We start from the raw sequence: 13,300 nt of genomic DNA on the forward strand, positions 1-13,300 counted from the left end.
ATGGTGGCACGTGCCTGTATTCCCAGCTACTCAGGAGGCTGAGGCAGGAGAATTGCTTGAACCGGGGAGGTGGAGGTTGCAGTGAGCTGAGATAGACCATTGTACTCCAGCCTGGGCAAAAAGCAACACACCGTCTCAAAAAAAAAAAAAAAGGAAAAGAAGTAAATTCCGTGAATAGGTTAAGATATTAAGAAACTGATTAAAAACAGTGAACTGATATTAAGAAATTAAGGAAAGAATCAGTAATCTGGTAGAGTGTAGAAGAAGCTATCCAGAAAGTGTCAGAGAATGTTCAAAGACAGAAGGGAGGGTAGTAGACATAGACAAATCAATGAGAAGGTCTAGTCTGTGCTAAATTTGAGAGCAAATGAAAAAAATCTCGGGAGATTGGGAGAGAGAATAAAGAGATAATAGTTGAGGTCTACCCAGAGCTGATGAATATATCAATCAACAGATTCAAGAGACCCAACAAATCCAAAACCGGAAAAACATAAATTCTTGACAAGAGTCATAGTTAGAATGCAGAACATCATCAAAAGTTACCATTACAAGGCTGGGATCACACCTGTAATGCCAGCACTTTGGGAAGCTGAGGTGGGAGGATCACTTGAGGCCGAGAGTTCAAGACCACCCTGGTCAAACAGAGCAAGACTCCATCTGCCCCCATCCTCGCCAAAAAAAAAAAAAAAAGGATGGACTTGGTGATGCATGTCTGTAGTCTTAGCAACTGGGGAGGCTGAGGCAGGAGGATTGTTAGAGTCCAGCAGTTAGAGGTTGCAGTGAGCTATGATTGTAGCATTGCAGTTCAGTCTGGGTGACATAGTGAGACCTTGTCTCTAAAATAAACAAGCAAAGAAACAAACAAAAATGAATGAAAAGATAATCCACAGGCTGGGAGAAAATACTGTATATGCAAAGCAACTATCTTACCAAGGGCTGGTACCTAGAATATATAAGGAAGTGCTCAACTCTATAATGAAAGGACAAACAACATAAATAAAAATGTACAAAACACTTAAACAGTCACCTAACAAAATGCAGCTATATGAATGGTAGATACATGAATGTCCACAATAGAAGGTACACAATGTCATTAATCATCAAAAAGTGCAAATTAAAACTTCAAGAAAATACTGCTACATACCCATAAGAGTGGGTAAAATGAAAAAGTATGGCAAAAATGACACTATTAGAATAACTCATAATAAATTAATTTAGCAAGGTCCTAAAATGTAAAGTTTTATTTTTTGTTTTTTGCTTTTTTGTTTGTTTGTTTGTTTTGTTTTTTGACACAGAGTCTTGCTCTATTGCCAAGGCTGGAGTGCAGTGGCATGATCTGGGCTCACTGCAACCTCTGCCTCCCAGGTTCAAGCGATACTTGTGCGTCAGTCTCCCAACTAGCTGGGACTACAGATGCGCATCACCACGCTTGGCTAATTTGTGTACTTTTGCTAGAGATGGGGTTTCACAATGTTGACCAGGCTGGTCTCAAACTCCTGACCTCAAGTGATCAGCCGGCCTAGGCCTCCCAAAATGCTGGGATTACAGGTGCGAGCCACTGAGCCCAGCCTAGAATAGAAGGTTAATATATAAAAAAACTGTTTTATATTCTAGCAAATGGAAAGTGGAAAATGTTTAACAAATTCCAAATACAGTAAATATGAAAGATAAGGAATAAATATAACAAAAGTCATCTAAAATCTCTATAGTAGAAATTTAAAAATATTAGTAAGATAAATTAAAGATCTAAACAATCAGAAAGCTACCCTATGTTCATGAATTGAAAGACAATATTGTTGCCAGGGCGTGGTGGCTCACGCCTGTAATCCCAGCACTTTGGGAGGCTGAGGCAGGCAGATCACTTGAGGTCAGGAGTTGGAGATTAGCCTGGCCAACATGGCGAACACCCATCTCTACTAAAAATACAGAAAAATTAGCCTGGCGTGGTGGCATGTGCCTGTAGTTACAGCTACTCAGGAGGCTGAGGCACTTAAACTCCTTAAGTTAAGGATCACTTAAACTCAGGAGGTGGAGGTTGCAGTGAGCTGAGATGGCATCACTGCACTCCAACCTGGGCAACAGAGTGAGACTTTGTCTCAAAAAAATAATAAAATAAAATAAATAAATAAATGAAGGGAGAAACAAATAATTCAACAACAATAGTTGGATAGGCCAGGCACAATGACTCACACCTGTAATCCCAACGTGGTGAGAGGCCAAGGCAGGAGGATCACTTGAGCCCAAGAGTTCAAGACCAGCCTGGGCAACATAGTGAGACCCTGCCTCTATAAAACTAAAAAATTTAGCTGTGTGGTGTCACCTGCCTGTAGTCCCAGCTACTTGGAAGGCTGAGGTGGGAGGATAGCTTGAGCCTGGGAGGTCAAGGCTGCAGTGAGCCATGATCATGCCACTGCACTTGAGTCTGGACAGCAGAGTGAGACCCTGTCTCCAAAAAAAAAAAGAATTGTTGGATACTTCAACACACTACTTTAAATAATGAGTAGAAAAACTAAGCACAAGATCAACAAGGAAATAGAAGATTTGAACCACATTATAAACTAATTATATTTAATAGACAGCTACAGAACCCACCAATCATGCTTCTTAACTGCATGTGGAACATTCTCTAGGATAAACCATATGCAATAAGCCTCATTTTAATATAAAGGTTTGAAATAATATAAAGTATATTTTCTAAATATGGAATGAAATTAGAAAATAACAGAAGAAACTTTGGGAAATTCAAAAATACATGGAAAGTAAACAACATACTCTTTAATAAACAATGCTTCAAAGAAAAATTCACAAGAGAAACAAGAAAATACTTGGACATGAAGAAAAGGGAGATATATCACCAAAATTTATCAGATCCAGCTAAAGAAGTACTGAGAGGGAAATTTATAGCTATAAATGTCTTCATTACAAAAGAAAGCTCTCAAATCAATAACCTAAACTTCAACCTTAAGACACTGGAAAAAGAAGAGCAAACTAAACTTTAAAGAAGCAGATAGAAGGAAAAATAGAGATTAGAGTGGAAATTAATTAAATATAATATATAGAAATACATAGAACAATAAACAATAACAGCAAAAGTTGGTTCTTTAAAAATTAACAAAATTCACAAACCTTTAGTTAGATTGATCACAAAAAAGAAGGAACAGTCAAATTCCTAAAATTAGAAATGAAAGAAGACACATTATTTCCAACCTGATAGAAATAAAATGGACTTGGCTAGGTGTGGTGACTCACGCCTGTAATCCCGGCACTTTGGGAGGCCAAGGCAGGCGGATCACCTGAGGTCAGGAGTTCGAGACCAGACTGACCAATGTGGTGAAATCCCATCTCTACTAAAAATACAAAAATTAGATGGGCGTGGTGGCAGGCACCTGTAATCCCAGCTATTCAGGAGGCTGAGGCAGGATAATTGCTTGAACCTGGGAGGCGGAGGTTGCAGTGAGCTGAGATCCTGCCATTGCACTCCAGCCTGGGTGACAACAGCGAAACTGTGGCTCAGAAATAAATAAATAATAAATAAATAAATAAAATACATTAGAAGGGGATACTATAGACAATTCTATGCCAACAAATCAGATAAACTCAATGAAAAGAACACATTTTTATGAAGACACAAACTACTGATACTGACACAAGAAGATATTAAAAACCTCAATGTACCTGTAACATATAAGGAGATTGAAGAGGTAATTTTAAATTTTGCCACAAAGAAAATCATAGGCCCAGGCAGGGCACGGTGACTCAGGCCTGTAATCCTAGCACTTTGGGAGACCGAGGCAGGTGGATCATTTGAGGTCAGGAGTTCGAGACCAGCCTGACCAACTTGGTGAAACCCCATCTCTACTAAAAATACAAAAAAAATAGCTAGGCATGGTGGTGGCCACCTGTAATCCCAGCTACTTGGGAGGCTGAGGAAGGAGAATTGTTTGAACCTGGGAGGCGGAGGTTGCACACAGTGAGCTGAGATTGCTCCACTGCACTCCAGTCTGGTCTGGGGAAAAAAAAGAAAGAAAAAGAAAGAAAATCACAGGCCCAGATGGCTTCACTAGTAAATTTATTTTCATATATGTAAAAAAAATTTTTTTTGAGACAGAGTCTCACTCTGCCGCCCAGGCTGGAGTGCACGGGTGCCATCTCAACTCACTGCAACTGCCGCCTCTCAGGTTCAAGCGATGCTCATGCCTCGGCCTCCCAAGTAGCTGGGATTACAGGCACCCACCACCATGCCCGGCTAATTTTTGTATTTTTTGCAGAGACGGGGTTTCTCATGTTGGCCAGGCTGGTCTCAAATTCCTGGGCTCAAGTAATCTGCCTGCCTTGGCCTCCCAAAGTGCTGAGATTATAGGCGTGACCCACTGTGCTCAGCCTAAAAAGATTTTTTTTTTTGAGACAGAGTCTCACTCTATTGCCCAGGCTGGAGTGCAGTGGCGTGATCTCGGCTCACTGCAACCTCCAACTCCCAGGTTCAAGCGATTCTCCTGCCTCAGCCTACCAAGTAGCTGGGATTACAGGTGTGCACCACCACGCCCGGATAATGTTTAGTATTTTTAGTAGAGACCGAGTTTCACCATGTTGACCAGGCTGGTCTCGAACTCCTGACCTCAGATGATCTTCCCTCCTCGGCCTCCCAAAGTGCTTGGATTACAGGAGTGAGCCACCGTGCCTGGCCCAAAAGATTTTTTAAAAAGAATTAATACTTATTCTTTACATGTACTTTCAAATATTAGAATAGAAAGAATCACTTCACAATTCATTCTATGAAGACAGAATTACCCAGACATCAAAACCAGAGAAGAAAATTAAAGGAAAAAAAATTACAGACCAATATGACTGATGAGTACAGACACAATAATCTTCAGCAAACTACTAGCAAAATAAATTCATTAACATATAAAATGGATTTTATAACATGGCTAAGTTTTATTTATCCAAGGAATCCAAAGTTGGCTTAATATCTAAAAATTATTATACTACATAAAAATCAATAGAATAAGGGACAAAAACATGATCATCTCAATAGAAGCAAAAAAATGCATTTGACAAAATCCAACAAGCTTTCATGATAAAAACACTCAACAGATTAGGAACAGAAGGGAACTTACTCAACTCGGTAAAGAGCATCTATGAAAATCCCACATATTACTTTACATTTTACTTAAAAGAAAAAGACTGAATGCTTTCTCCCTACAGTCAGGAACAAGACAAGAGTACTACTTCCATTCAATATTGTACTGAAGGTTCTAGCAAGGACAGCTGGACAAGTAAAAGAAGTAAAAGGCATACAGAAATGAAAGGAAGAAATAAAACTATCTTTATTTGCCAAAGACATGATATTGTATGTAAAAAATCTGGCCAGGCACAGTGGCTCACACCTGTAATCCCAGCACTGGGAGGCCGAGGTGGGCAGATCACCTGAGGTTGGGAGTTCGAGACCAGCCTGGTCAACACGGAGAAACTCTGTCTCTACTAAAAATACAAAATTAGCTGGGCGTGGTGGTGCATACCTGTAATCCCAGCTACTTGGGAGGCTGAGGCAGGATAATCATATAAACCGGGAGCGGAGGTTACGGTGAGCCAAGATCACACCATTGCACTCCAGCCTGGACAACAAGAGCAAAACTCCATCTCAAAAAAAAAAAAAAAAAAAGTCTTAGTGAATCCATGTGGGCACAGTGGCACACACCTGTAGCCCTGGAGACTTGGAAGGCTGAGGCAGGAGGATCACATGAGCCCAGGAATTCAAGGCTGTGGTGCACCATGATCACATCTGTGAATAGCCATTGTACTCCAGGCTGAGCAACATAGTGAGACCCCGTCTCTTACAAGAAAATCATAAGGAACTCACAAAAATCTATTTTTCTTTAGAGATGGGGTTTCACTGTCACGCAGGCTGGAGTGCAGTGGCCACACTGGAAAGCAGTGGTGCGATCCGGCTCGTTGCAGCCTCAAGCTCCTGGGCTCAAGTAATCCTTCTAACTCAGCCTCTCGGGTAGCTGGGATTACAGGCGTGTACCACCATGGCCAAATAACTTTTTTATTTTTTGTAGGGATGTGGTCTCGCTTTGTTGCTCAGGCCAGCCTTGAACTCCTGGCTTCAAGTGATCCTTCCATTTTGGCCTACCGTAGTGCTGGGATTCCAGGTGTGAGCCACCACGACTGGCCTACAAAAAAACTATTACAACTAAAAAAAAAAGTCAACCAGTTTGTAAGATACAAACTTAATATACAGAAAGCAGTTGTATTTCTATACACGTGTAACATACAATCCAAAAATTAAATTAAGAAGGTATCCCATTAAAAGAGCTTCAAAAAGAATAAAACGCTAAGGAATAAATTTAACAAAAATAAATAAATAAAAATCATACTCTAAAAATTATAAAACATTGTTCAAAGAAATTAAAGATCTAAATAAAGTGAAAGGTAGATATACCATGCTCATGTATTGGGAAGACTTAATTTTATTTATTTATTTATTTATTTTGAGATGGAGTCTCGCTCTATTGCCCAGGCTAGAGTGCAGTGGGGTGATCTTGGCTCACTGCAACCTCTGCCTCCTGGGTTCAAGCGATTCTCTTGCCTTAGCCTCCTGAGTAGCTGGGATTACAGGCATCCGCCACCATGCCTGGCTAATTTTTGTATTTTCAGTTGAGACGGGGTTTTGCCATGTTGGCCAGGCTGGCCTTGAACTCCTGATCTCAGGTGATCCTCCTGCCTTGGCCTCCGAAAGTTCTAGGATTACAGGCATGAGCCACTGTGCCCGGCCCAAGACCTAATATTTTTAAGATAGCAGTTCTCCTCAAATTCATCTACAGATGCAATGCAATCACTACCAAAATCCCAGTCACGGCTGGGGACGGTGGCTCACCCCTGTTATCTCAGCACTTTGGGAGGCTGTAGTTGAGAGGATTGCTTGAAGCCAGGAGTTCGAGACCAGCCTGGGCAACAAAATGAGACCCCAATTTCTGCAAGAAATACACACACATAAAAAACAAACAAACAAACAAAAAACACCAAACCAAAAATACTCAGTCAACTTTTTTTTTTCAGAAATTTATTTGCTGATTCTAAAATTCATATGAAAATTCAAGGGACCCAGAATAGCTAAACGACCTCAAGAAAGAGGAACAGAATGGAGTGGAGCTCAGAGCTGTGGAGAGGAATGAAGCTGAGCAGCTGGGTTAGCCTGGCCAAACCAGTGGAGCACAGACGTGGGTCAAGCGCTGGTGAACATATGCTTTTGACACATTAGAGACTTTTTTGATCATGGATGATGAACATATACCAGATTTTTCAAGTTTAAAGGATGAAACTGCTTATTGGAAGGAAATGTCCTTGAAGTACAAACATAGCTTCCAGGAAGCTTGAGATGAGCTAGTTGAATTTCAGGAAGGAAGCAGAGATTTAGAAGCAGACTTGGCAGCACAATTAGCACAGCCTGAACAAAGAAATAGAGACTTGCAACTTTATAGCCAAAGTCTGAAATATGAAGTGGAGGCATTGAAGGAGAAACCAGAACATCAATATGCGCAGAGCTACAAGCAGGTCTCAATATCAGATGATTTAAGTCAGATGTGGGCCATTAAGGTGTGGTTGCTTAAGTATGTGAGAGAGCTGGAACAGGCCAATGATGACCCGTAGCAAGCAAAAAGGGCAATAATAGGGCCGGGCGCGGTGGCTCACGCCTGTAATCCCAGCACTTTGGGAGGCCGAGGCGGGTGGATCATGAGGTCAGGAGATCGAGACCATCCTGGCTAACAAGGTGAAACCCCGTCTCTACTAAAAATACAAAAAATTAGCCGGGCGCGGTGGCAGGCGCCTGTAGTCCCAGCTACTCGGGAGGCTGAGGCAGGAGAATGGCGTGAACCCGGGAAGCGGAGCTTGCAGTGAGCCGAGATTGCGCCACTGCAGTCCGCAGTCTGGCCTGGGCGACAGAGCGAGACTCCGTCTCAAAAAAAAAAAAAAAAAAAGGGCAATAATAGTTTCACTAAAAGACGTTGTTTTTGTTTTGTTTTGTTTGAGACGGAGTCTCGCTCTGTTGCCCAGGCTGGAGAGCAGTGGTGAGATCTCGGCTCACTGCAACCTCCACCTCCCGGGTTTGCTGTGTTGACCAGGCTGGTCTCGAACTCCTGACCTCAAGTAATCCACCCGTCTTGGCCTCCCAAAGTGCTGGGATTACATGTGTGAGCCACCACACCTGGCCTTCACTGGAAGACTTTGAACAAAGGCTAAATCAGGCCATTGAACGGAATGCATTTTTAGAAAGTGAACTTCATGGAAAGGAATGTTGTCGGTCTCTGTACAGAGGTTAAAAGATGAAGCAAGAGATTTAAGGGCAAGAACTAGCAGTTCAGGAAAGCAAGTAACCAGAAAGTTGGCTCCTACTTCTCCAACTCTAGATGGTGAAAAGATAGATTCCACTGTCCAGGGATCACTCTTTTTGCCAGCCACTCCTATTGGCAAAGGAAAGGAAAACAGTTTTCCTTCCCGAAAGCTACACTAAGTGGTTTTGGTACCAGTCCACTAACTCCTGCTGGGCTATCAGCATTAACGACCATGGGGGATCTCTTAGGAAAATTAGGGACTTTACAATCCTAATTAGCAGCTTGCAGAAATTTTGCAAAGGACCAAACATGAAAGTCCTATATTTCAGGAAATGTTAACAGTGGGGTGCTGAATGCCAATTGCACAAGAGTCTCCCAATCAGATGAAGGGCAAGAAAAAGTCATATTTCCGGTCAGGCAGTAATCCCAGCAATTTGGGAGGCCGAGGTAGGCGGACCACTTAAGGTCAGGAGTTCGAGACCAGCCTGGCCAACATGGTGAAACCCCATCTCTGCTATAATTACAAAAATTTGCTGGGCATGGTGGTGGGCACCTGTAATGCCAGCTACTCAAGAGGCTGAGGCACAAGAATCGCTTGAACCCAGGAAGCGGAGGTTGCAGTGAGCCTAGATAGCACCACTGCACTCCAGCCTGGGTGACAGAATGAGACTCTGTCTCAAAAGAAAAAAAAAAAAAAAGGCCAGGCGCCCTGGCTCACGCCTGTAATCCCAGCACTTTGGGAGGCCAAGGCAGGCAGATCACTTGAGGCCAGGAGTTCGAGAACAGCCTGGGCAACATGGTGAAACCCTGTCTCTACTAAAAATACAGAAATGAGCCCGGTGTGGTGGCGCATGCCTGTCGTCCCAGCTACTGGGGAGGCTGAGGCAGGAGAATCGCTTGAACCCAGGAGGTGGAGGTTGCAGTGAGCCGAGATTGTGCCACTGCACTCCAGCCTGGGCGACAGAGTGAGACTGTCTCAAAAAAAAAAAAAGTCACATTTCCTACATTGTTCATAATGCAGTAAACGGCTTTAATCCAGCTCCTCCTTCTCCTGGTCTGCACTCCTCATGCCTGCTGCCAGCACCGGGTATGCTGCCTTTCAGTGTGAGTGCTTGGCCTCCAAGTGGGGGCTCTTGCCCTCCTCCAACAACCCAATACGCCCATGCCTCACCCCTTGGTGCCGGGGCCCAGCCCCATGCCCCTCCAACTGCCTTCCCACCGCTGGCAGGGGGCTGGCTGCATGCAGCGGCGGCTGCTGGGCCCTGCCTAGCCCCAGGACTCTGCACAATATCAATACTGGCTATTTTCTCTTCTTACCATAGTGAAGTTGGCTTCATATGATTGCACTTGTGTGGGTCACAAGGTGATGCATCTGTGTATTACTTGGTCACTGGATGGAGAAGTACCCATTCATCACACCTGCTTCATAGCCCCCACTCTGCTGTACTGACAGGATTTAGTTGTGTTAGGACATTGCAAATCTTCTAGAAGTTCTCCACCAAATCAGGTCAATGTGTGCCTTCTTTCTGAGCTCCCACTCAAGCATCTTCAGTGCTCATGATCATGTGTCCCCCAGCTCCACCCCTCACTGTTCGGGCCTGTTTCTGGCAAAAAGTCAGGAAGGTTACTGAATTAGAGAAAATTTTCTGGACCTTCTGATTTTACTTAAGCAGTTACCATTCCATGGACTTGCCTCCTAAAGCAGCAAAATGCCTGTCAGAGCCCCAGATGGCAGGAGCCTCTGGGGCCTGGGCACACAGACTAAGCCTCTGTGCTGTCTTCTTCTCTGTGTGCCTCAGACTCGGTGGGTGGAGAGCTGGCAGGCAACCTCTCACCAGCTTTCCAGTCCTTCAGGTCTATGACATCTTCAGACCTTTTTTCTCCTCTGAGGGCTAGCCCAGTTAGTTTTGGAAGGGTTGAGTAGCCTGACTCCAGGGCTGGCTGGTGCCGGCTCCTGGGGGGCGGACTCACCAAAAGTGGTTGTCTCTGTGCATTGCTTGATCACTGTCATGCTGCATTTAGTGTTTACATTTGCTTCATTGTATTGGGTTGGTGCAAAAGTAATTGCAGTTTTGCCATTACTTTTAATAAATGAAATTCATTTTTAGAAAGTGAACTTCATGAAAATGAATGTTGTTAAACCAAACACCGCATGTTCTCACTCATAGGTGGGAATTGAACAATGAGAACACTTGGACACAGGAAGGGGAACATCACACACTGGGGCCTGTCGTGGGGCGGGGGGAAAGGGGAGAGATAGCATTAGGAGATATACTTAATGTAAATGATGAGTTAATGGGTGCAGCACACCAACATGGCACATGTATACATATGTAACAAACCTGCACGTTGTGCACATGTACCCTAGAACTTAAAATATAATTTAAAAAATATATTAAAAAGTCAAAAAAAGTCTCAAATAATTAAATAAAGTCCTCCAGTATTTCTCATCCTCAAAAAAAAAAAAAAAAAGAAAATGAATGTTGTTGGTCTCTGTACAGAGTTTAAAAGATGAAGCAAGAGATTTAAGGGCAATTACTGTCGCACCAACTTAATACACAGGTTTGTAAACATGACTAAGATATTTATATATAACTTGTGTTTTATAGATTTTATTTATTCAGAACTCATACGGCATGTTAATGACTTACGATAGTGTCCTACTCTGGGCAGCTGTGTAGGATCATAACACGGTTAAAAAAACACTTCCCCTCAAAAAAAGTCTTTTAGTGTAGATACAATAAATTTCATAGAAAAAAAAGAGGAACAGAGTTGGAGAACTGACATTTTCTGATTTTAAAATTCACTAGAAAAGTACAACAATGAAAACTGTGTTGTTTTGGCATAAGAATAGACATATAGATCAATGGAATTTAATTGAGAGTTCTGAAATAAACCTTTACTTTGATGGTCAGTTGATTTCAACAAGGATACCAAAACAATTCACAGGAGAAAATAAGTAGTGTTTTCAACAAATGATGTTGGAATAACTGGATATCCAGCTGCAAAAGTTGAACTTAGACCTTATCTTATACCATATGTGAAAGTTAACTCGGCGGCCCCGTCTGGGAAGTGAGGAGCACCTCTGCCCAGCCGTCCCGTCTGGGAAGTGGGGAGCGCCTCTGCCCGGCCGCCCCGTCTGGGAAGTAAGGAGCGCCTCTGCCCGGCTGTCCATCATCTGGGATGTGAGGAGTGCCTCTGCCCGGCCGCCCCATCTGGGAGGTGTACCCAACAGCTCCGAAGAGACAGTGACCATCGAGAATGGGCCATGATGACGATGGAGGTTTTGTCGAAAAGAAAAGGGAGAAATGTGGGGAAAAGAAAGATCAGATTGTTACTGTGCCTGTGTAGAAACAAGTAGACATAGGAGACTCCATTTTGTTCTGTACTAAGAAAAATTCTTCTGCCTTGGGATGCTGTTAATCTATAACCTTACCCCCAACCCCGTGCTCTCTGAAACATGTGCTGTGTCAACTCAGCATTAAATGGATTAAGGGCAGTGCAAGATGTGCTTTGTTAAACAGATGCTTGAAGGCAGCATGCTCGTTAAGAGTCATCACCACTCCCTAATCTCAAGTACCCAGGGACACAAACACTGTGGAAGGCCACAGGGACCTCTGCCTAGGAAAACCAGAGATCTTTGTTCACATGTTTATCTGCTGACCTTCTCTCTGCTATTATCCTATGACCCTGCCACATCCCCCTCTCCGAGAAACACCCAAGAATGATCAATAAATACTAAAAAAAAAAAAAAGAGCTTATCAATCAGAAAAAAAGAGAAAGTTAACCCAAAATCATAATAAACCTAAAAGTAAGTGCTAAAACCATAAAATTTTCAGAGGAAAATATAACTACAAATCTTCATGACCTTAGATTAGGTATGATACCAAAAGCACAAGCAACAAAAGATAACCAATAAATCAGGATTCATCAAAATTAAAAATTAAATATCAAAATTAAAAATACTGCCATGTTTTATATGTGTCTCTAAAAGTTTATGTGTCAGAAACTCTTTTTTTTTGAGACAGAATCTCACTCTGTCGCCCAGGCTGGAGTGCAGTGGTGCCACTATGACTCATTGAGCTCACCTGGAATTCCAGGTGTCAGCCACTGTGCCTAGCCTATGTATTGGAAACTTAATCCTTCTTCCCTCATGAATGGATTAATGTCACTATCATGGGAGTGGGCTTGTTATCATGAGAGTGGCTTTGCTATAAAAGCAAGCTTTCTGTGGCCTCTTGCTCTTGTCCTCTAGCCATGTGATGCCCTCTGCCATGTTATGACACAGTAAGAAGGCCCTCACCAGATGCTGGTGCAATGCTCTTGGACTCCCTAGCCTCCAGAACCATGAACTAAATAAACGTATTTTCTTTATAAATTACCCAGTCTGTGGTATTGTTATAGCAACAGAAAACGAACTAAGATAGATACTATAAAGAAGTTGAAAAAGCAACCCACAAAATGAGAGAAAATATTTGCAAAGCGTATTTCTGATAAGAAACATGTACCTATAATATATAAGGAACTCTTAAAAACTCAGCAATAAAAAGACTACTCAATTTAAAATAGGTAAAGAATTTGAATAGATATCTCTCCAAAGAAGCTACATAAATTGTCAATAAGGAAATGAAAAGATGCTCAACACCATGTAATTGTGATATCTGTGACATTTGTGAAATGCAAATCAAATCCAAAATTATATATCACTTCACACCCACTAGGATGACTATAATTAAAAATATATGCAATAACAAATGTTGGTAATGATGTGAAAAAAATTGAAGGCTTCATACATTGCTAGTGGAAATGTAAAATGGCATAGCTATTTTGGTAAATGGCTTGAAAGTTCCTCAAAAGGTTAAACATGGAGTAACCATAAGACCCAGCAATTTCACTCCTAGATACATACTCAAGAGAAATGAAAACTTATGTCCATGTACTACATGCAAAAGTTCACAGCAGCA

At 42.3% G+C, this 13,300-nt stretch overlaps 1 pseudogene; it reads left to right on the plus strand.

Moving 5' to 3' along the window:
- Positions 7,148–8,760, plus strand: LOC100128467 (nuclear distribution protein nudE-like 1-like; annotated as a pseudogene).

The sequence above is a fragment of the Homo sapiens genome, chromosome X (genome assembly GCF_000001405.40).
Source record: "Homo sapiens chromosome X, GRCh38.p14 Primary Assembly".
Classification (NCBI taxonomy): domain Eukaryota; kingdom Metazoa; phylum Chordata; class Mammalia; order Primates; family Hominidae; genus Homo; species Homo sapiens.